Genomic DNA, 21,103 nt, shown 5'->3' on the forward strand with positions numbered 1-21,103 from the left:
CAGCCTGGGATTTTTGATGCCCGAACAACAGAAAGGAGTTTTTGAAGTTTCTAGACTTCAAACTGCACCTCACTCTGTCCTTTCTCTGGGCCCCTCTTGTCCTCCGAGGCTCATCTAAAAAGGAGCTAGAGATGCTGAAGAGACAGACACTGCATCTTCCTTGACAACCCCAAATTAAATCAGGCTTCAGCCTCCAAGGTGTGTGTGTGTGTGTGTGTGTGTGTGTGTGTGTGTGTGTGTGTGTGTGTGTTTCCAACAGCACAGCCCCCACTGGGGAGAATACTCTGATTTTAAAAATGTAGCAATTGCCCTTGAATAGCAGCCGGCCCAGCTAGACAGCCCAAAAGACTAGAAACATTTTGTAGGTGAAATGGCCACTTTTTCCACGCTGAAGAGTCCATAAAACTTCCCGGCGCAGCAGCTATTGGGGCTCATTGAATAATTCATCCCTCATTGCAAGCCCATAATGTCTATTCTCAGCCTTTTGTGGTGCTGTTTTCTCTTCTTTTCTCCTTGAATTATAAAAAGGTTGCCTTCCTTTGTTCACATCAAGCTGCTCCGAGCTGGAGCTTTGTCTGGGCTGAGCTAAAGTGTGAGTTTCAATGGACTCTCCAGGCTTTGTCTCCCAAGTTCATCTCCAAGTGTAGATTGTGTAGAGAAGGACTTCTTTGTAAAAGCTGGAAAAGTTGTACAAATGTTTGACCAGCTCATTTGGGACGTTTTGTCTCCTGGGCCTCAGTCGCCTGTACTGCGAGAGAGCAGCCAGTCTGCCAGCGCCGGAGCCTCCAGCAACAAGTAGCAAAGCCGTGAGTCCCCAGCCTCTGTGACTGCTCTGGGCTCTTCTCCCCACTGCCCACAGGAGCACATTTGGTTTGGGGTTGTCTGACTCCCTGCCTTCCTCCCTTCTCAGCACCTCTATTCTGCAGCTAGGCCTGGGATAAAAGCCAAGGTGTCTTCTCAGAGACCAAGGCAGAAAAATGCACCTCTCCAAAAAGAGGATTTAGGCTGAGTCCATAGGAGGCCTCTGTCATAAAGCAAAGGAAGCATCTCCCTGCCCAACCTGCTGTGGTTTGACATGTCTTTGATTTCTTGTGTGCATCAGAGTATCTACACTTGTTTTTCCCTCAAATCAGCCATTTGGATCTGTAACTTCCAAATCTAAATGTTCCTTCCAGGTTGTGTGCAGATTTTGCATTGCTTTGTAAAGCAGCTGCTCAGGAGAGCCACTGGCTGCCACAGAGTTGGGCAATGAAGATAAAAGAAGTCCCACTTGGATGCCACTCTGGTAAGGGCTCGGACCCAGCTAGTCACAGTCGGCAACGGCTGTGAGCCCACCTGGAAAGCCGCCTGTCCCTCTGGCAACTCCAAAACTAACTTTGCCCAATGAACTCCAAGTCCCAGGTGAGGAAACTTCAGGCATGAGTGGGACCCCTGGCCACTCTTGACCATTTGTGCATTTGAAGAGGGGCAACCACCCCCAAGGCCAAAGCCACTGAGACACAATCCTCCCCTCCCCCCTGCCGTCTCCTGCTGCAATGATCCTTTCCTGGTTCAGCATTTCTTTTCCTTTCTTTCTTTCTTTTTGCGTTTGTACCCTTAAAGTTTGAGGATGGCTTGCGGCAGGTGAAGGGGAAGCAAGCTGCACTTCTGTCTCCCATGGGGGAGATTTTTTTTCTTAGTGCCGACAGTGCACAGCCGAAAAGGAATGGGGATCTGTACCCCTAGAAGACAGAGGGTGCCAGCACTCTAAGAACCCAGATCCCTTCAATTTGTAACCCAGAGCTTGGGTTCCTTTCAATTCCCAGGCACACACAGGTTAAACCCCCTCACATTTGAAAATCAACTTCAAACAAATCAAACCAGTCAACACACAGACATATTTATAAGGCAGCCAATGTGGGGGCAATTTTGGAGGGCCGTTGCCCAAAAGAGTACTCTCTCTCTCTCTCCTTTAATGCGAGGAAACTCCGGAGACCAGGGCCTTTCCTGAGGGCATAAAAGCTACTTCAACTTCTGAAGATTCAAGTACCCTCTATCCCCGGCCCTACAATTGCTCAGAGATGCCCAGTCTCATACATTTAATGGCAACAGAGTGAGAGCTTCCCCTGCCCCCTACAACAGAGCACAATTCACAGTTCTAGAATCCCAGGGGCTGAAAGTGGTTAAGAAAGAAAGATTTACAAAACAGAAAAACTAAGCAGAATAGAAATGTTTGTTTTGATTCCTAGTGTCCCTCTGGTCTTTCAGTTCCATGTCGTTACTCAGGCGCAGAGACACCGCGCATGAAGGGACCTTGATCCGAGCTGGGCTTGGCTGCCGTCAGATCACCAATGTCAGCTAGCCGATGCCCTCCAAGTCACCCAGCAAGTGCGCCGCCCAAGGCGCCACCGCTTACCTCGCTCGCTCAGGATGCCGTCGATGCTGTGTTTGGCCTTCTTCTCGCTTTCCTCTGCCTCCTTCCTCTCCAAGTCGGCCTCCTCCTCTTCACCTTTCCCGAATTTACTTCTCAGGATGCGGCTGATGGAACTCACTGGGGGCGGGAGGAGGAAGGAAGCAAGGGAGCGCACATGGTTGAGACAAGCAGGGCTGTGCGGGAAGGACCCCCCACCCCCAAACACCAGCCAGGGCCCTAGAGCCGCTGCCCTGCACTGCTCGCGGGTGTCTCCTCCTGCATCTCTGGACATCCTCATCCTTCTCCAGCCCTCTCATCCTGCCACTCAAACCCCCCTCCCTATTATCTGTATCTCGGTACTGAAAGACGGAGGCTGGGAAAACCGTGCCTCCAAGTTAGGGCCGGATGCCATCTTTGTCCCTCGATTCTGGGCAGGAAGCATTTCCCTTCCTGGACTCCGAAGACCGGGCTCTAGGTCTGCAATCTAAGAGAATTCTCCCACCAGCCCACCGGGTACCCTCCTTCCTCCCCACCTGAATGCATGGATCCTGCGGTTCGCCTTAAGGGAGGAAGAACCAAAGCCGACTTGTCCGCGCCCCCCCCCACCCCCCCGTAAATCAAGTTTCTTTTTTTTCCTTTCTTCCCTTTTTTTTTTTTTTTTAAGGCTATAAAGGGTTTAAATTTCAACTGCAGAATCGTTTCCTATTGTAAAAATCAAAAGAAAATGCACTCTCTCCCACTTATTTTTTCCAGATTCCAGTCTGGTAAACAAATCCATGCTCTGAAATATGTTTCTCACAGAGGGAAAAAGGGAGTTTCCTTTTAATTAAAAACAAACCCTCCCGTGCGCCCTCTCGCTGGCCCCGTGCTTGCCCCTCTTCTCCCTCCGCCTCCCCCAGGCTGCCGTGGCGGGGGGCTCCGGACCGTCCCTGAGACTCTCGGAGGAAATCGGGGCCGTTGTGGAAGCCTCCACGGCTTTGCGCACACGGCAAAGTCCCTCCCGGCGCGGGCCCCATCTCCCTTCGGTTGGGGTTACCAAAACATTTGTTTCTCTTTAAAAGGGAACATCAATATTAATAAACGCTCTGCCTCCGCCTCACGTTTCCTGCCCTGCCTCCTCGACAGAAATCTTCTTTGGGGCGTCCTCAGCGGTGGTCTCGCCACCCTCCGTCCCCAGGACAAGCAGCTCACCCCTCCCTCCATAAAGTGCCAAGAACACCGGGTTGGCAAATATTGCAGGGCCTCGGGAGAGGCCACCTCCCAATAGCTGAGATCGATAATTGGGGTGATTACGTCTGGGTCGACGTGCCGGGGTAATAGCGACTGACTGTCGCGCCTCGGGGAGAGGTTAATGGGCCTAGTACCTGACGGCACGGTGTTTCGATCACAGACCGCGTCCTTGAGTAATTTGTCTCGGATTTCCCAGCTGAACATGCCCGGGTTCTCTCTTTTGTATTCCTCAATTTTCTTCTCCACGTCAGGCGTTGTCACCTGCTTTAAGAGAACAGGCGGGCAGGCGTTGGTACCCGGTACCCTGGGCCAGGTGGCGGCGGCCCCACCGCCTCTGGGCCTGTCGGGATGCTCCTCGCTGAATCCTCTGGGACGGTCCCCCTTTGTGAGCAAAAAGACCTGAACTCTCTGAGGCACTTTAGAAAGGGGCAGACCAGAACACATCCCATCCCATCCCGGAGCAGCCTGGGAAGCCTCTAACTTCCCCAGACAAGCCCCAGACAACCGGGATAAATTCAGAAGAATTATAACATCTTGATGGGGGTAGGGTGGGGTTATACTTTCTCATCCCTGGAAATAAGGCAACTGCTTACACAGAACCAACATGAAAACGAAACTAAAAAAGCGATGTTTGAAAAAGGAGCTGAAAAATCAAGTTAAATCTGCAACTTGTGCTTTTCCAAAGGGATATTTATGCTAAAGTGAAGACTGAAATGTAAAGGTATGTATTTGGGTTTTTAAAACTTCGAGTCGATAACAAATATTAATTAAGAGAGACTGACTCTTCTCTCTACCCCCAATATATATTTTTTAAAAAGAAGAAGAAGGTTCCAAAGATTCTTAGAAAGGCTGTGAAAGTGTTTCAGTAGGTGGGAAGGAAGAGGAGGGTGTTTGGAGGTCTTCGGTTTACCATAACCCTCTTGATTTTGCCCGGTGGCAACTAGAAGAAAAGACAGACCTTGTGTAATTCCCTCCCACTCAGCCCTAGCTGGTGTGACTCTTTCTTTTTAAAAACAGAACCAAAAATAATTTAAGGATAGCACCAAACTGCTTATTTTTTTTTAATGGAGTCATTGGCTTATTACAAAGAAAACTGATCACCCTAGTATTTGACTCATTGAAAACAATTTGCACTGGGGGAGACTGAGGGCGGGGTTTGGGAGACAAACCATTATAAAACCTAAAGAAGTTCCTTACATTCGTTTTGGAAAGGACGGTGCCATGGGTGGGAGCCGGGAAGACACTTAGGGAAGAAATCGGCAACAGGTGGGCACATAGAGCTTGCCTGCTTTAGGTGTTTATCCATTAAAATAATTTGATGAGGATTGCAAGGCTTATGGGCTTTAAAAAACAGATGTTATTTTTCCTTTGCAAAAAGGCAAGAGCTTTCCCTAAGTGTTCATCAAGAAGTGTCCAGGGCGCGTGCACACGTACACACACACACGCGCGCCTTTACGCACCTTCACAAACCTCAGAAATAACTCATTGGAGAGCCCCAGATGTCAGCCGTTACCCCCCGCCCGGTCTTCCCCAACACAGGGGACCACAGTCTGGGAGCCAGGAGGGCAAGGCCCGCCCGCTCACCTTGGGCTTGCTGCCGCCGATGGCACCAGGACGTATGGAGCCAGTCTCCTGGTACCTGCACAGGATCTTGGAGACGCAGCCGTGGGACACGCGCAGCTGGCGCGAGATGACGCAGGGCCGGATGCCGTGGTGGGCCATCTCCACGATCTTGTGGCGGATGTGGTTGGGCAGCGGCCTGCCGTTGATAAAAACACCGCCGAGCTGGTTGACGCGGCCCTGGCCGAGGGGAGTGGACACTGTGGGAAGGTGAAAAAGAGAAGCAAGGGAAAAGTCACTGGAGGAAAATAAAAAGCAAAGAACAGCAGCACGTAATTTCGCAGTCTTCTGTCCTATCCTCATGTTACAGCACCGACGCTGAAACTGCTCGACATCGGACTCCCAGACCCAGACCTCCTTTCAATCACATTTGTTCAAATTATTCAGCAATATAGCGCATGTAATCTTGTGTAAAGACAGCAAATGGGGCAAAATAATTCTCCCCAGAGAAAGCGTCTTCCCCTTCGGGCCCGGGGAGTGGCAACTTAGGAGACCCTGCAGCTGGTAGAGAGTCTAGCTTGCTCTAGAAACAGCCTCCTGGCGAAGAGAAGTTCACCCAGGAGCTGGCCTTGATGAACTCTGCTCCCACCGATCCCTGTCCAATTGGGATCTCTCCCTTTCTAAGGGACTTGGGCCAGCTGATAGCCCTTGGGGTTTCTAGCCAAAAGTGCAGCAGCCAAGGGTCAAAGAGGGTCCAGAAAGGAGGCCCAAGCAGCAGTGCCTGTGTCACCTGTTACATCTTGGGACAGAGACCACAGCAGCGGCAGGGCTGTTCCTGGGCCCCCAGCCCCCATTCTTGCTCTGGGTGTTACATTCTACTCTAGGCTGGGTGTGAAGGGAGTGGGTGGCGGGGGCGATGAGCATCTCTGCTGGGGCGCCCTAACCTGGAAAACCATTGAAAACGGCTCAGGCTTGCAAGACTTCCTGCCTCCCCGGGATTCCCAGAATCTTCAAGTGGACGGAAAGGCGATTCCTAAACAAGTTATAGAAACTTCTAGATGCTATTTGAGATACATAGAATTCTAATTTATTTAATTATTCTAAAAATTCCAATCACAATGGCGCGGCGTTAGCCACCACAACTTTGCAGGGCAAAAAAAAAAAAATACTTCCTGAACTAACATATGTTTCACAAGTGTGGGCGCAGCCGGGACAATTTCGAGACAACTTCGAGACAATTTCGAATGGACAAATTGCGGAGAAGTTGCTTCTGCCGCTCAGAAGCCGGTTCACCTCCTTCTCCACCGCGGCATTTCCAAAACAACAGGGACAAGTCTCCCCGGCTCGCCGCAGGCCTGACCGCCCAGCTCCGCCAGGATTTGCAGAGAGCAGCGCGCTCCATTTGCAGAAAGGAAATCGAGTAGGTCCTCGCCCCCGACTGGTGCTTCTTGGGGTGTGGGGTGCCCAGGGAATGGGCTTCCTGGAAGCACCAAAGGAGCCTGCGGAGCCTGGGGATGGGGTGAGGCAGCCGGTCCCAGGCCCTGGGATCCAGGCGGCGCGCTGAGGCCCTCCCTTACCTTCCAGCGGGAACCCGCTACGCGGGTAGTTCTGCCCCGGGCCCGGCCGCATCATCCTGGGCACAGCGCCGGCCAGCGTGGTCATCCTGGGGGCAGCTTCGCTCGGAAATTATATCCAGGTGAAGGCGAAACGGAAAGGCGAGTGCGGCGCGGATGACCCTCGGGAACTATCCGGAGCGTGGAGAGCCCCTCCCCAAAACGGCTGGAGAGAGAGGGAGGGACGCGGGGAGGGGGGCTGTCGGTTCCTAGTCCAGAGGCCGGAGCTGGAACCCGGGAAAGGGGAGGACGGGGAGGCCCCGGAGTCCAGGATCCCGAGCCCAGGGCGGAAAAGTTTGGTACGAGTCTGGGCAAATGTTCCAGCGACTGGGGTCCCTGAAAAGGGGGCTCAGAGAGCCACGGCGAGCCGGGGAGCCTGGTGAGGCTGGAGCGCGGCCTGCCTGAGTCTCCTCCTGTGGTGACACCGAGTGCGGGGATCCGGGCTCGGGAGCATTTATTAGTTCTTTTACCCAAAGCTTGGTCAGGAGCCCTGAGCTGCGATTGGCCGACGGGTAGACCGTCCCGGGTGGCGGAGACACGCGCTGATTGGGCAACAGCGACCACTTTCTCTTCCCATCTCTGGTGGTGCCGAGGCCTCTGCTGGCCCCGAGGGGGACCCGCGCTGCGCCCCTTGCCCAGGAGAGAAGGTTGGCCCGGTGGAAACTGAGAGAGACAGCCCCAGGGAGATGGCAGTTGCTGAGGGCGGAGAAGTTCCTGTCTCTCTGTCTCTGTCTCTCTGTCTGTGTCACTCTGTGTGTGTGTGTGTGTGTGTGTGTGTGTGTGTGTGTGTGTGTGTGTGTGTCTTTCTCTGATCACTCTTTCCTTGACTTTCTATTTCCCTCTCTGTCTCTTTCTGTGCCTCTGTGTGTGTGTCTCGCTCAGCCTCTATTCCTCTTGTGATTTCCTGTGTCTCTCTCTATGTCTCATTTTTTCTACCTGTAGGTCTCGCTCTCATTTCTCTTGGCTTACTGCCACTGGAGGGGGCACAATTCCAATAAGAAGGCATCTGGGGCCCCAGACATATTTAGCTTTCCTTCCTGTGGTCAGTGCCCCTTGGCCTAGGCTTGTTAAGGGGTCCTCCCGATGGGGCTCCTCCTGGGAGGAGTCCAGGGTGCGCTGATGTTCTTTTGTCTTCTCCGTCCGCAAGCGGGGCTAATGTGAAGCACAGGCAGCCGTCGCTAGGCCCAAGCACTCGTTAGTTGAAGGCTGGGGGTATGGGGGAGGGTGCAGAAAAAAACCTGGCTCCTCTTCTTGGTGTAAAAACCGCTCTGGCAAGCTGCGGTTCTAAATCTCTACATATAGATCCCCGATGCGTCGACAGAGATGTGTCTGTATGTTAAAGTTTTGCCCGGGTTCAGCGTTTGTTCTCAGGAATTTATTATGGCATTCAGACTAAACTGCTGGAAAAATAAAAGGAACGAAGTCTTGGCTAGGAGCTGAAGTGTCCCCAGCAGGATATGACGCCAGGAGTGTTGTAAAGACTGTCTGTCCTTAGAGAAGGTACCATTGTGCATAGCCTTTTATTTATAACTTGGTAAGTGCCAGCGAACTCGCCTCCTTTACACCCCCGAGTGCCAGCCCCGCGCTCTGCACTGCGCTTTATTCGCTCGAGCCTATTCAGGGACTGTCACTCCGGGGCCGCGAGGTATTCAGGGCCTTAATCAATCAAAAGGATGAGAATCGGGCAGGTTTTTCCCTTTGAAATAAAGGAAACAATGACTTCTGGGCTTCAAGTTCCCCCTTTTCCTTTTATGATTTTTGAATTTTTCCTGCCCCTGGAGGGAGTTCTCCACTCCTCTCTCTCTGTCCCCCTCCCCCACCTCCTTTGACAGTTTTGACGTGAACTCGGGCCCCCAACCCTACTTCCCCATTCCCTAATTAAGGCAAACTCAGAAGGCAAGATGTAGGGGGGTGTGGGGTATAGCCGCTCAGCAGTCCACAAGTTGGCCCTTTAAAAACCCACTCACCATTGGGGAAACCAGGCAAGCTTTCAGCCTGCCTGATGCCAGAAGGCTTGGTTGACCCTCAGAGCCACGGAGACAGGTCTCAGGAGACTCCCAGAAATGTCTGGACCCATGAAGGAGGCATGTGCCTTGTTTAACCTGGTTTTACATTAAATGATTCAATTTTTCAAGGGGAAAATTTTCTCATTTTCTTTTTAAGGCGTTGGGGCCACCAAAGCCTGTGTCCGTACGTTTTAAGCCACTTCTCAGCGATAGCATTTTGAGAGCTAGACTTTTTCCAAGTTTTCTTCTTCCCAAAGGTTAAGCAGAGTCGACAGAGCACTTTCTGGGGTCAGCGGTAATTGCTGTGTGAAGGAGGTACCAGAAGTGTAATTTCAAGAAGGCAAAAGTAGGCTCAACTCTCAGCTAAAATAAACTCTTGGACCCCGCGAGCAGTTAAAGAACATCTAGAGCTGAGTCTCATTTGTTTTTGAGCCGGAGGCTTGGTCTCCAAGCCCTCCCAGCGTCCACCCGTCTCTCTCCTGCCGGGAGTTTTCTCTCCTAAGAGCCGGCAGATGCTGGAGGGAAGCGCTTGCTGCAAGATTCCTTCTCCCGGTCCCGTAGATTGCAGAGTCCGCGGGACCGTTGAACGGAGGTACTGCCGGCTGAGCTGGGTCTTAAGTGCCCATGGGTTCATAAACTAGCTGTCACTTGCTATAAACATGTACAAATGGAGGCCACAAGGATGTGGGGGTGCTGGGGACCTAAAGCTCCGGAATCAGGAGGCGACTCATTTTCTCTCCTTTCCGGCCTCTTTCTTTTCTGCCGAGCGCTCTGAGATTCATATGTACCCAGATGATCAGCCCGGCCCTTCTCACCGGCCAGTGGCCAGAGGTCCCTGGACACCCGGAGAGGGGTGGGAGGGCACCCTTAGGCTCTGGACAGCTGGGCCACATCCAAAGACTTAATGAATCTAAATTTCTTGTGGCCTGTGTCCCCGAAGTCCGACCTGGGATGGCCAGGACAGCAAAGTTGGCTGAGGCTGCCTGGCCTAGGGCGCCCGCACGCCGCCAAACCTAACCCGGCTCAGAGCCGTGACTCCGCAGAACAGGGCGCAACAGGTCTCAGGAATGCCGGGTGATTCCAGCCACTCTTTCTCTGTCTCCGAGTCTTGGGCCTCCCCTTTATTTCTTTCTGAAGTCTCTCCGGAGCCCAAGCCACCCCACACCCAAACCCCGCAGCTGGATGGGAGTCCAGGCCACTTCCCTATCCGCAGCCGGTGGGCCAAGGAGTCCTGGTGCCAAATTTGGCCGCGGTACAGGCGCTAATTGGTAAAGGGATGACCCAGCGGTGGGGCTTGGAAGGCGAGGGCCCGCGCCCTGCATCCTTGAACCCTGGTTTGGGAGGCAGTGACTTTTACCTGGGCTAACAAATTACCCAGAAAGCATCAGTGGGACTCTCCACAACGGTGTTGTGAACGAGTGTAGGGTCCACTCACGCTCTGTGCACGTTCGAAATGAAACGGGAGCCTTGAAGACGATATTTGGATAATTTGACAAAAAAAAAAAAAAGGTGGGCGGGGGAGATAGCTTCTATTGTCCCCTCTGCGCCTCTGCCCCCAGTTTCAGAGACACTACAGGTGAAAATAACAGCGGGCTGGCTGTCCAGGCCTGAGTGGAGCGTGCCCTTGTTAGCTTGAAAGTTCTCCCTCGCAGCCCGTTTGGATGCGTGCGTCTACAGCCCAGTCGCACTTTGGTGACCGGCCTGGGCTGTGAAGCACCCTTTAGCGAACAGCCTCCGCACTTGGGGACACTGGCACAAGGGTTTCATGGCCCGTGGACTTCTCAGGGCCTCTGAGGGTTGACTTCATACTCAGCCAGACACAGGTCTTAAGAGGAAATTATGATCTATGCAAAATAATGTCCCTGACCTAGTGGGGAGCGGGGGTGGTGTCTGCCACCCAGACCTTTTTCCTCCCGTCTGAAGGGCCGAGCTCTGGCAGGCTGACACGGTCGAGCAGAGAAGTTCCTGGCCACCCGCCCGGCCCCAGGCGTGATTCTCAGGATGCAGTAAAAGTTGGGCAAACGCCGAGAAACCCTCAATCCCACAGAAAGGCTGCCGGGGGCTCACGGGGAGGACATCAAAACGCCAGGTTCGTGATCATGAGCTTCCGGTCCGGATGTGATGATACAGGATTGGTGAATGCCCGGGTTAAACCCGTGGTCCTTCGCAGCCGCTGCCTCAGTGACAGTCATTAGGCCCCCCGCAGTTATTTGTCAAAAGCATTGGCGCCGCTCTTCTCCCCATCGAAAAATCAGTCGGGATGAGTTCGGATTAAGGGACTAGATGAGGATGTGGACATCCCATTGAAACATGGTGTAGGCCAGCCGAAGTGGGTTTGCTCCTTCAGCTGGGGGAGCCCCAGGGAACGTGTGAGCGGGTTTACAATAAGGAACATATGGTTTGTGGGAAGATAGGAAGAGAGAAGGAAAATAGGAAAGGAAAAAGAAAAGAGGAAAAGAAGAGAGAGGTACTTTTTTTTTTAAAGGCAGTGAGGGAGGGAGAGAAGAATAAATCTCACAGCAGCTGGTGTCCTAGTTCATTTGGGTCTGAGAAAATTATTTTTAGGCAAACAAGGAAGACAGGATTCCGCCGCCCGATTCTCCAGGGCGGGAAGAATAGGATGTCTTGTAAAAAATAAGTAAGTCCTGTCTAATCTTCCAAAAAATGTTCTGCTCAATTAGGTAAAAGTTCATGGTGGGGTGGGGGTGATGTTTAGAAGACAGATTCTTCGGTAACTGCTCTTTGGTGTGTGTATTCGGGGTGTGTGTATTCGGGGTGTGTGTATTCGGGGTGTGTGTATGTGTGTGTGTGAAAGAATCTGGTGTGTGTGAAAGGGGTAAGGGTTGAAGGACCTTATTTAGCTGGGGGACCGTCTTGTATTGGGAGCGGGCAGCCTAGGCCTTGGAAAGACCAGAAAATCTGATCTGTGCGGAGGCAGGTGAAGGCTGTGAGTGAGGTGGGGGCGGGAACAGAGCTGGAGGAAGTGAATAAAAGAAACCTTGGGGTCCGTTGGTTTCCTTGACTCGTGGAGCAAAAAAGTAGGCGAGTGACCACTCCAGGAACTCCTGCCTCCGGGCGCCGGTACATAAAGAGCTGGGGCTGTGTGTCCTGCTCTTGGGGGAGGAGGGTACTGGGAAGGGGGAACTAACAGGTCTTTCTTTCGCTCGGATCAGGACTGGACTCCTTCTGACTCCACGCGGCCCCAGCTCCTGAACCAGCGCAGTGAGCCTCAGCCGCTTCTCAAACTGGGTCTCAGAAAATTTCTCCTCGAGATGGATTTCAGCGGCAGGAAAGAGGGGCCAGTGACGCGAGGAGCAAGAAAAGAGTAACATGGGAGATGAATGTTCAAACCCAGATCTCCTCGCTGAGCCTGGAAGCTCGCCACCGTGGGATCACGGGAACCAGAGGCAAGAGGCTGCGAATGAGTCCAACACCCGCGTTCCTCGAGTTTTAAAAGCACACCTGGGGCCAGAGACTGCACAGCCAACTAAACGGAGTAAACGCAACAGGTGGAGGAGGCAGAGTTGTCAGGGGCCAAGCCCGGCGCGATCTGGCCAGTTCTTGGGGAGCGCGGACCTGGGACTGCAGAGAGGCGTTTTGAAGAGTGCTGCGCGCACCTGCCTCTCGGAGATATCCAACTCCACCCGGGCGTCTCCTGAGAGCGCACAGTCCACAGACCCCGGGAGGGCTGCCCGCCCTAGGACACGTACTCTCCCGACCCCTCACTCTTTCAAAATTGGGGAAGAGGCGGAGGAGATGAAAAAGAAGAAAGAGAGAAAGAGAAGAAAAGAGAGAAAGAAGGAAAGAAATTTTAAAAAATAATAAAAGGAGGGAAGAATGGAGGTAAAACGCGGGGGAGAGAAGAGGGGAGAAACTCTCCTCACCACAACCAAAGCAGGAGGCCTAAGCTTCCTGAATTTCTACACATGACTTGCATTAAGTTCCTTCCTAGAACTTAAACTTTTTCATCTCCCGTCACCCAAGAAAACACCCATTTCCTCTTTTAAATAAAGTTTCTTTTTCTGGAGATGAACCTTTAAATAAGTCGTACGTTTGGGAGCGAGGGACAGGAGAATAATTTTGATCCAGAACCTTGGAGATTGGAGAAGCAGGTGGAAAAATTCTAAAAAGATGAAAACTGACCATCTCCGACACAGAAACCCATCGAAAGGGGCCACCGAGACCCGTTGATTAGCTGGAGGGAGCATGCGGCAGAAGTGCAGACCCCTCGCTAACCCGCCAACCTCCAAGAGCCCTCTTGCAGAAAGCTGCCCGGCTCCCCACGGTGGCCCTGCGCGCGCACCATCCTCGCGGTCTCGCTTCTTCGCCCCGGAAAACTCTATGAGGGGCACCCCAGCCTCAGCCGGGTTAAGACAAGTAGCCCCAAGAGGAAGGAGCCTCAGAGAGCCTTTCTTCCTGTTCTTCTTCGTCTTCTTTTTTTTCTAAACGAAATCTAATACTATCTGGCTGCAAAAATATATTATCACCGGCTCTCAGCCTAAGAGACTAACATTTGGATATGTAGGAAATGTAATCTGCATGGCTAATTGATTCTCAGCGTATCAGTTTAAAGGATAAAGATCGATATCTACATGATGGATATTGTATTAATAGGGGCATAAATAAAGGTCGAAGAGTCGTTACCAAAACCTTTGAAGCCGCTTTTCGGCTCTCGGGCCCTCCACGCGGCCAGTGGGTCTCTCCCACCTCCCCGCCCCCAGCTGCTGCTGGGCAGGGAGCATTTGCTTCCCCCTCCAACCCGGGACCAGGGTGGAGGAGTCTATGGTTAAAGCGAAAGTGTTTCACTGCGGCAACGCTGGGGAAAGGAGGTTCTTTTTTCCTGGGCTGCAGCAGGTGGACAGTAAGGCCCGAGAAAATGTAATATTTTAACAAAACGCACCACTCCCCGAAACACACGTATACGACCCACACAGGGACACAAACAACCACACATGTACACACACACACACACACACACACTCACACACACACAATCACGCAGGGCGGGGAGGGTTCTCAGCGTTCCCTGAGCGCCCTTTGGCCTTAGAGACAGGGAATAAATTCTTCTTTCCATCCCTCGGCCCCCTCCCAGAGGGCAGCGACGAAAGCCCTGGCCGAGCACAAGGATCGGTGATCTGGGCTCCTGGAGGTACCCTCTAGATGGGGTAAGGACGGGGAAGGATCAAGAGGTTCTGCGGGAAGTGTGCGGGGCTGGGGGGCGGGGGTGCCCGCCAATGTCCGCAGAAGGCAAGGAGGCCCACTCGAGGAGGGCTGGATGGAGACAGACTTGAGTCGGGCCCTGAGCCCCAGGGAGTGCGGCCCGGTAGATCTCGGGGCGAGGGGAACAGGATCGGGTACACTTGATCCGGAACAAGAACGCCTCGGCCTGGCGGTTGCCCGTTAGTCCCGGATCCCAGCGGCCGCTTCACCACTGAGCCCGAGCCGCCGAGGGAATTTTCCAAATGCAAATCAAACACCCTTGGCGCCCCGCTTCTTCATTAATTAAGAGGAACGTTTCGACAAAACCGGCGTAATCTTTATTAATTACGCAGCCCTTAGCGCGCCGTTCGCATCAATCACGCCCAAAGCGAAAGTGCAGGGGGCGCCTAATCCCTTCCCAGAGCGCGTTTGGAGAAGGAGCCGCGTGGCCGGCGTTTCCACCGTGACTTCCACCTTTCTGGGCTCGCCTGGCACTGGCTGCTCAGCCGGCGCGCAGGGAGGCCTTTCCGGAAACACCGGCTGGCTGCGCGCTAGCAGGACCGCTCTAGATCCCCTGACAGGCCGGAAAATAACCCCCACTCACTATTTGGGCACGCGCTCGTACGCAGAAACTCGCACAGGGACTCGCGTGGACACTTTATGGCCCATTTCCTCCGTCCCCTCACCCTTAGGCTCAGTGGGGACCACGCGGTTCTCAGTCCTCCTCTTCCCTAGGACCCTCTAAAAAGGAGCCTGGGGCGAAATGACAGAGGGAGGCAGAAAACCTCCTGTTGCCCCAGGACGCCCCGAAAAACTGCTCTGGGGGATGGGGCGGGGAAGACCTTAGAAGTTGTCAGGGCGACCAACTCCTCCCAGGTGACCAGGTTGCCATAGGACCAGCACACTGCTCAGGAGTGAGTTTTGGGGAGAGAGAGGGATCCTCCAGTTATTGCCATAGAGAACCAGGAAAGTTCGCAGCCTCCGGGTCGCAAGTGGGAAAGTTGACTGGAGATTGCGGTTAGAGGGGGTGGGTGCAAACTCAGGGTATTTCCGGGTAGCCCCGCAGCAGTCTTGTCCGCTGAAGGCAGGTTACCCTGGGCTTTCAAGGGAAAACGCCTTGGGGCGGGGTGTCCTGTGCGACCACCTCTCTCAGCAAAGCAGGGTTTGACCTCTTGGCCTGACCTTGCTCCCTAGTCCCACCCTATACTAGTAGGTCCTAACCTTTCTGCGCTTTGAGCCTGGACCATCGTCCCTTCAAGAGATTCTACTGGATAAAAAAAAATTATAAAAGCTGGATCAAGCTTGGCGTCGGAGGTCTGGCCCTCAGCTGGTTCCCACCCTAAAGGACTGGCCTGCCCACCCTCACGTCCTCGGGCGCCCTTGGCTCGAGGGCCTTTCGGAGCCTCCGCGGGAAGCAGAAAGTCGCACCTCACACTGAGCCTTTCCTTCGAGCGCTCTGCCGGGAGCTACTGAGCCCCAGCACGCAGCCTTGGGCACCCGGTGGCGGGCGAAGGAACCTGCCCCATTGTGCTGCTGGGCTGCACTAGCGGAGACGAGAGTGCGTGTGGGAGTGGCCCACTAGCACCACCCGCCAGGGTTTAGCAGCGCCTGGAGCACCTCCCTCTTCCCTGCTGTTTCCTTAATGCTGGAGCTGGGCACACTCCGATGTCCCGCATTCTCACATTCAATCATTCATTCTCCCTCTGAAAGTTCTCAGGCTCCTTTGCTCACGGGTCGTCTCTGGACCTGAGACACCTGCGAACCTTGCGGATCACCAGATTGTTTTATTGTTCCTCTCTTCCCCCACTGAATCGTCGGCCGGGCTAGTCTTCCAGTTTCGCCTGGAGTCGATTGCACTCTGGCGCACGTGGCCTTTCACTTACTCCACATATACTTATTGAGCTTCTACTACGTGCCATTCAGAGTGCTGGCACCACAGCAACGAAACAGACCAAAGTCTTTGCCCTGGCAGAGCTGATGGTCTAGAAAATAGCAAAAAAATAATATAGAAATGCACCCTGCCAGGAGATTGGTTGTAAGACTGAGGTTCAGCTCTGGAGAAGCTTGAAAGACCAAGGGTGGGGTAGTGAGTGGGCGGGTAAGAAAGGCTGGGGTGCAGTTGATATTTCAGCAGGAGTGGTCTGGGCAGGCTCTACGGAGCTGTAGCTCCTTGCAGAGAAGGGAGAGAAGGAAGGAGTGTTGGCTGAAGGAAAGGCAAGGAAAAAGGAAAGTGATGAAACCATGTGGTCCACAACAGTTTAGTGAATGCCTACTGTGCTGTGGCAGTCTGAGGTCCTGGAAAACTCCTGGCAGGGCCTGGGCAGCCAAATCTGCAGATATGCTTCCCTCCAAAAGAGGTAGTGCTTGCCTCCTCTGCGGGCCCAGCATCTCTCTAGATATTTCCCATTGTCTTCTTTGGGAAGATATTTCAAAATGGCTATGGGAGTGACGGGGGACTGAACCTTCTGGTGGACCGGCTGAGGCTCCCTTGAGCTCTGTTCCTCTCACCACCTCCAGGGGTAGGGTAGCTGTCACTGTTGACGTGCCAGAGGTATGAGCCTCCTCCCTTCCGGTGATCGTGGCTCAAAAATCCAGGATGGACCTGGGCCTCTTCATCTAGCCCCCATCGGCTGAAAAGTGCATTTTTATTTGACAGAAAATGACAGCGCGCCTTCTTGGTGTCCAGATCCCCACTCTACAGGACCTGTCACTCCCATTTCCCATACGAGAGGAAACTCCCTCCAAGGCAGGGGAGATGTTGGGAAAGCTAGGAGTGCCCTGCTCCACATTGTGGCGGCAAGTCTGTGTTTTCCTCCTGGGTGATTTGGAGGAGCTACTACCACTTTGGCAGTGGGAGGGGTGTGGAAGACTCCTCTTTCCAGATAATCCAGAGGAGCCCAAGGCCCTAAAGAACTAGTCATCATTCCTTGGCTGGTATTTCTGTGAGATAAATGGAAAATAAACCAGCAGGAAGAATTCAGGAGGAAATATTTTCACAAGGTTTCATAGGTTATTACAAAGTCTTTGAACACATCTTTGAAAGCCTAAGAAGTCTGGGACCAAGGAATGCAACAGATGAAGTGGAGGCAACAGTGTGTTGCCCTGCAGTAGAGGCTTGAAAAAAGTAGAGGCTTGAAAAAAGACAATGGATTTTCTTTCTTTTTTCTTTCTTTCTTTTTTCTTTCTTTCTTCTTTCTTTTTTCTTTCCTTCTTTCTTTTGTTTTCTTGTTCTTACTCTACTACTTCTTCTTCCTCTCTCTCTTGTCTCTCTCTCTCTCTCCCCCCCCCACCTTTACTTCTTGAGATGGAGTCTCAAAACTGGTCTTGAACTCTTGGTCTCAAGCCATTCTCCCACCTTGGACTCCCAAAGCCACTGTGATTATAAGAATGGGCCACCATGCGCACCTGACTACACTACAGGTTTCTCACATCAATATGCAGAAGTGCTTCACAGTCAAAGAGAGCGGTACTTACTTATCACAAGAACCACTGATAAAGTAAAACCTACCAATAAATAACTTAGAGCTGCTCATCAGGGAAGTAAACAGAAACCTATACCGGTGGAAGAGGTGAGAAGGCCCATGTTGAAAGGGAATCTTCATGGCATCTCCAAACCTAATCTTCATATCTCCAAAGCAATCCAAAGAGGTTCTCAGAAAGACCAGGTACCTCTGTCATAATGGGGACATGAGAATCGTGCCTGTAATAGAAGATAATCTCTGGTCCCTCAGTACAAGGTCACATGATAGGGGCTTTGCTCCAGTCTTCTGCTTGGTGAAGCAGTTTGACTTTCAGAAGAGCAAACTGTGTGGGTTTCACTGGAGGAGGATGACTCAGGAGGGCAGGAGCCAGACCACAGGACATTCAAAAGCAGGGTGGCAGGAAAATTCAGAGAAGCTTTCCAAGCTCAAAAAGCAGGAAAGTCCTAGGAATGGATAATCTTAGAGACAGAAAAAAGGAAAAACTCCTGGAAAAAAGAGAAGATTGCTCTGATAAAATGAATCCTAACTAATGTTCTACATGGAATCCAGGTGGTATATTACACTAGGCAACAATGATCATTGTCAATTGGAAGGACACAGTTGCACTGGGAGAACTGATCTGCATCCCCAATTCACTCTTCCATAATAGGGGAAAAAGATATTAGAAAGGAAAATGCAATATTTATGATCCTATCATGGGCTAGACAAATTACATATACCCTTACTTTGTACTGACTTAAGAAAAAACCTATTTGTTTTGCTCCCAAGGTTTTAAAATAAATCGAGTTTGCACTTTGCCTGCTCAAACCTTGCAAAAGTGCAGAAAAATAGGAGAAAAGGTGAAGGTAAATATATCAAATACTTGGAATAAACCCTTTTAAAGTAGAAGTCACCGAAGTGCCAGGATGGGAGAATCAGGGAAGACGATGCCACTATGCCCTGCTTAGCATTACAAACTGCTAAGCCATCTCACCTTTCACCTGTCTCAGTCTCTGTCTTGGGGACGACACTCTTCATGAGATTTCTCGGAGGACATTTTGGTGTCTTGGGGCTGGCAACACGAGAGCTTGGAGGGCCTGCTGTTTCTTGGTCCTGCTGCAGGGGGTCCCCATCCAAATAAGCTGAATAAGTTATCTCAGGAGAACTAAGGAAATCCACACGTGGTGACGATAGTACTTGATAATGGTGAATCATAAAAGTATATGTTTACTGAGTGCTTAGTATGTAATGGTATTGTTCTCAGTATGTTACAAAGATTCATCTACTTACTGCTCAAATCAATTAGGTTATATCTAGTTAAAATGAGAAAAGGAGGTAGAGATAGGTTAATTAACTGGCCCAAGGTCATACAGCTAAGAAGCCGCTGTGTTAGGGTTTAAATCAGGACAGGGTTATGTTACCAGTCCTGGTCCGTTAGAAAGTACTAGTTTTCTACTACTTTGATCAGCCCCGGAAAGCACGAGGTCTGGAAGCTACCTAAATACTTCATCTTTCATTGTTTGCCTTGTTGTGGCAGTAAGTAAATGTCAACAAAAGTTACCTTTAATACCTTCAGGAGACACCACACTAACTTATCTCGATTGGAAATAATTTAGAAATTTACTTCACCTCATTTCCCTTTTAAAATACATCAAATAATCCCACTTTAAAGTGCTTCCTTATTTGATTGATTGATTGATTGAGACAGGGTCTTGCTCTGTCACCCACGCTGGAGTGCAGTGGCCGGATCATAGCTCACTGCAGCCTCGAACTCCTGGGCTCAAACGATCCTCCCGCCTCAGCCTTCCAGGTAGCTGGGACTACAGGAGTGTGACACCATGTCCGGCTAATTTTTGTATTTTTTGTTAGAGACGGGGATCTCGCTGTGTTACCTAGGCTGGTCTGGAACTCCTGGCCTCAAGTAATCCTCTGGCCTCGGCCTCCTAAAGTGTTGGGATTACAGATGTGAGCCACTGTGCCCTGCCTAAAGTGTTTGCTTATTTTAAACAACTTTTTTTTTTCTTCCCGGGGAACATTTATTAGCCTATATTGCCATGAGAAAACAACTTGAGACACTTCAGCCTCAACCCTCCTCCTCTAAGTCGGTCGGGACAATGGCAGGCGGAAGATGAAGATATAAAGTAAGAATTCTAAGCTTCTCGCCTTCCTGTTACAGCCGATCTGCTCTGCATTTGGAATGCGGCGTCTTTGCGGGCGTTCTGAGTCATTCCTACTCCGCTGCAAGCCCCGCAGAGAACCTCGCCTTCTTCCCGACCGCCAAGTCTGATTGTACAGACTTCATAGAAGGTCTGGAATAAGGACTGTGTTGCTGCAGAGGCCGGGTCTTGGGCCCCTGGGCGTGAGGACGCAGGCTCGGCCCCTGGGAAGAAATGTACTAACGCACCTCAAGACTCCTAAGGTGTTTCCAAGTCCCCCCTCCAACTTTCGTGTCCAGGTCACGCTGCCCCGCCCTCGGACAATGAGAGGGTGTGTCAAGATGCTCTTTGCATCTTTGGAAGCCGAGGGGGAAATAGGAGACTTTCGACGGGGAGCAGGTTTTCCGGAGCCGTTTGGGGCTGAGATTCTCGAACCCCTGCTGGGGGCCGAAAGCGCCGGAGAAACCTGGGACTAAACGAAGGCGACTCCCCGCAGGGCGCAGGCACCGCACCCGGCGTTTGTTTTATTCTTAATTTACTTTTTTGGGCACCTCTGCTATTGTTACAAATAAATGCGAACGCGGAGCTTTCGGGCGGGCTCTGGGAGCGGCCCGTGGGCATCTTGGAATATTAAAAACGTCATCCGGTTGTAAATAACCTACTCCCCAGCCCTTGAAATCCGGGACGTCACAGGTGAGGCTGAATACCAGGTTCGCACAAAGGCAAACCAAACTCAGCCGGGATGCCGAGTGATGGGGTTGGCAAGATAGTGTGGCCTCTGGTTCCCTCCACGCGTGATAAGTGGGATCATGACAGCGTCCTTGTGCCTTCGATTTGTCCCCAAGCCCTCCTCTGCCTTTCCGATCTCAAACTAACCCGTAATGGAGCTGGCAAGTGGGACGAACGGGACAGCCTAAAGCGTCGTTGGCCCGGCCAAGAGGGGCTCAACGCCTGTCACCCCGGGCGGCCTTGGGTCCTTTGCAGTCGGAGAGGCTGCAGGGGAGGAGGAAGACCCAGCCAGCTCCAGGGTGCAGGATTCTGCCCTTCCACCCGAGAGCCTCCCCCGGTGTCCCAGTGGCAGTGGCTGCCCCGGGCTGCGGTCGCAGAGTAAGCAGGGGCTCCAGTCCTCGGTCCGCGCGCCCTGCCCCTTGGGCTCAGCTGCGAGCCACCGCCGGCGTGCGCACCCACAAGGAGAGAAATGGAGGTAATCCCCCGCTTCCCACCGACTGCCGGAAGCTCGGCCTCTGTGCAAACCGAAGTATACCTGCACCCAAGAGCGTGGAAATAATTTACACGCTGAATGGCTACTATTAAAAAGGATCTTTTTAACAGATCTCCTGGCGAGTATTTTAAAACAGGACTCTGCGCTAGATCAGCTCGCCCGTCGGCAGCTGTCAGCGACCAGCCGACAAGCTGAGATTCCCCTTTCAGCTGTCACTGGCGATGACACCCACATCTATCACTGGCGATGTTTTGTTAATTTAAC

General features: G+C 52.2%; 1 protein-coding gene and 1 long non-coding RNA gene across 9 annotated transcripts in view, besides 10 other annotated features; one reads left to right on the forward strand and one right to left on the reverse strand.

Annotated features, from left to right (window-relative positions):
* Window positions 1-7,227, reverse strand: part of PAX3 (paired box 3) — a 99,112-nt gene extending 91,885 nt beyond the window's left edge. For 5 of the 8 annotated variants that reach the window (NM_181460.4, NM_181461.4, NM_181459.4 and 2 more), the window contains exons 1-4: window positions 6,760-7,227; window positions 5,207-5,442; window positions 3,757-3,886; window positions 2,396-2,530 (exon numbers count right to left, since the gene is read on the reverse strand). In NM_181460.4, coding sequence (NP_852125.1) covers window positions 2,396-2,530; window positions 3,757-3,886; window positions 5,207-5,442; window positions 6,760-6,844 — 586 coding nt within the window. In that variant the 5' untranslated portion in view covers window positions 6,845-7,227. Of the gene's footprint in view, window positions 1-1,863; window positions 2,531-3,756; window positions 3,887-5,206; window positions 5,443-6,759 lie in introns of those variants that run through there. The other 3 variants (NM_013942.5, NM_001127366.3, NM_000438.6) reach the window with 3 other exon arrangements.
* Window positions 1,977-2,513: an enhancer, noted in NCBI's record as "H3K4me1 hESC enhancer chr2:223158467-223159003 (GRCh37/hg19 assembly coordinates)". NCBI's record gives its function as "activates a minimal SCP1, AML or CMV promoter by ChIP-STARR-seq in naive H9 embryonic stem cells {active_cell/tissue: H9 hESC(naive)}" and the evidence as "EXISTENCE:reporter gene assay evidence [ECO:0000049][PMID:30033119]".
* On the forward strand, window positions 6,376-13,446 carry CCDC140 (CCDC140 long non-coding RNA). Its single transcript, NR_161172.1, has 2 exons — window positions 6,376-6,602; window positions 11,975-13,446. It is a non-coding gene; the product is annotated as a CCDC140 long non-coding RNA (long non-coding RNA).
* Window positions 6,827-7,858: a promoter, noted in NCBI's record as "StyI/NaeI fragment for -650 to +379 promoter". NCBI's record gives the evidence for it as "EXISTENCE:reporter gene assay evidence [ECO:0000049][PMID:10191090]".
* Window positions 6,827-8,677: a biological region, named in NCBI's record as "PAX3 promoter region". NCBI's record gives its function as "regulatory_interactions: PAX3".
* Window positions 7,245-7,282: a transcriptional cis regulatory region, noted in NCBI's record as "SBE site; -60 to -51". NCBI's record gives its function as "mediates Stat3 induction of transcription" and the evidence as "EXISTENCE:reporter gene assay evidence [ECO:0000049][PMID:21997191]".
* Window positions 7,248-7,255: a TATA box. NCBI's record gives the evidence for it as "COORDINATES:motif similarity evidence [ECO:0000028][PMID:10191090]".
* Window positions 7,853-8,407: a transcriptional cis regulatory region, noted in NCBI's record as "StyI/XhoI fragment". NCBI's record gives its function as "negative regulation of expression" and the evidence as "EXISTENCE:reporter gene assay evidence [ECO:0000049][PMID:10191090]".
* Window positions 8,124-8,299: a conserved region, noted in NCBI's record as "conserved region; NCE2". NCBI's record gives the evidence for it as "COORDINATES:sequence similarity evidence [ECO:0000044][PMID:26252164]".
* Window positions 8,452-8,677: a conserved region, noted in NCBI's record as "conserved region; NCE1". NCBI's record gives the evidence for it as "COORDINATES:sequence similarity evidence [ECO:0000044][PMID:26252164]".
* Window positions 14,929-15,464: an enhancer, noted in NCBI's record as "NANOG-H3K4me1 hESC enhancer chr2:223171419-223171954 (GRCh37/hg19 assembly coordinates)". NCBI's record gives its function as "activates a minimal SCP1, AML or CMV promoter by ChIP-STARR-seq in primed H9 embryonic stem cells {active_cell/tissue: H9 hESC(primed)}" and the evidence as "EXISTENCE:reporter gene assay evidence [ECO:0000049][PMID:30033119]".
* Window positions 15,465-15,999: an enhancer, noted in NCBI's record as "NANOG-H3K4me1 hESC enhancer chr2:223171955-223172489 (GRCh37/hg19 assembly coordinates)". NCBI's record gives its function as "activates a minimal SCP1, AML or CMV promoter by ChIP-STARR-seq in primed H9 embryonic stem cells {active_cell/tissue: H9 hESC(primed)}" and the evidence as "EXISTENCE:reporter gene assay evidence [ECO:0000049][PMID:30033119]".

This window comes from Homo sapiens, chromosome 2 (assembly GCF_000001405.40).
Source record: "Homo sapiens chromosome 2, GRCh38.p14 Primary Assembly".
NCBI classification, from domain to species: Eukaryota; Metazoa; Chordata; class Mammalia; order Primates; family Hominidae; genus Homo; species Homo sapiens.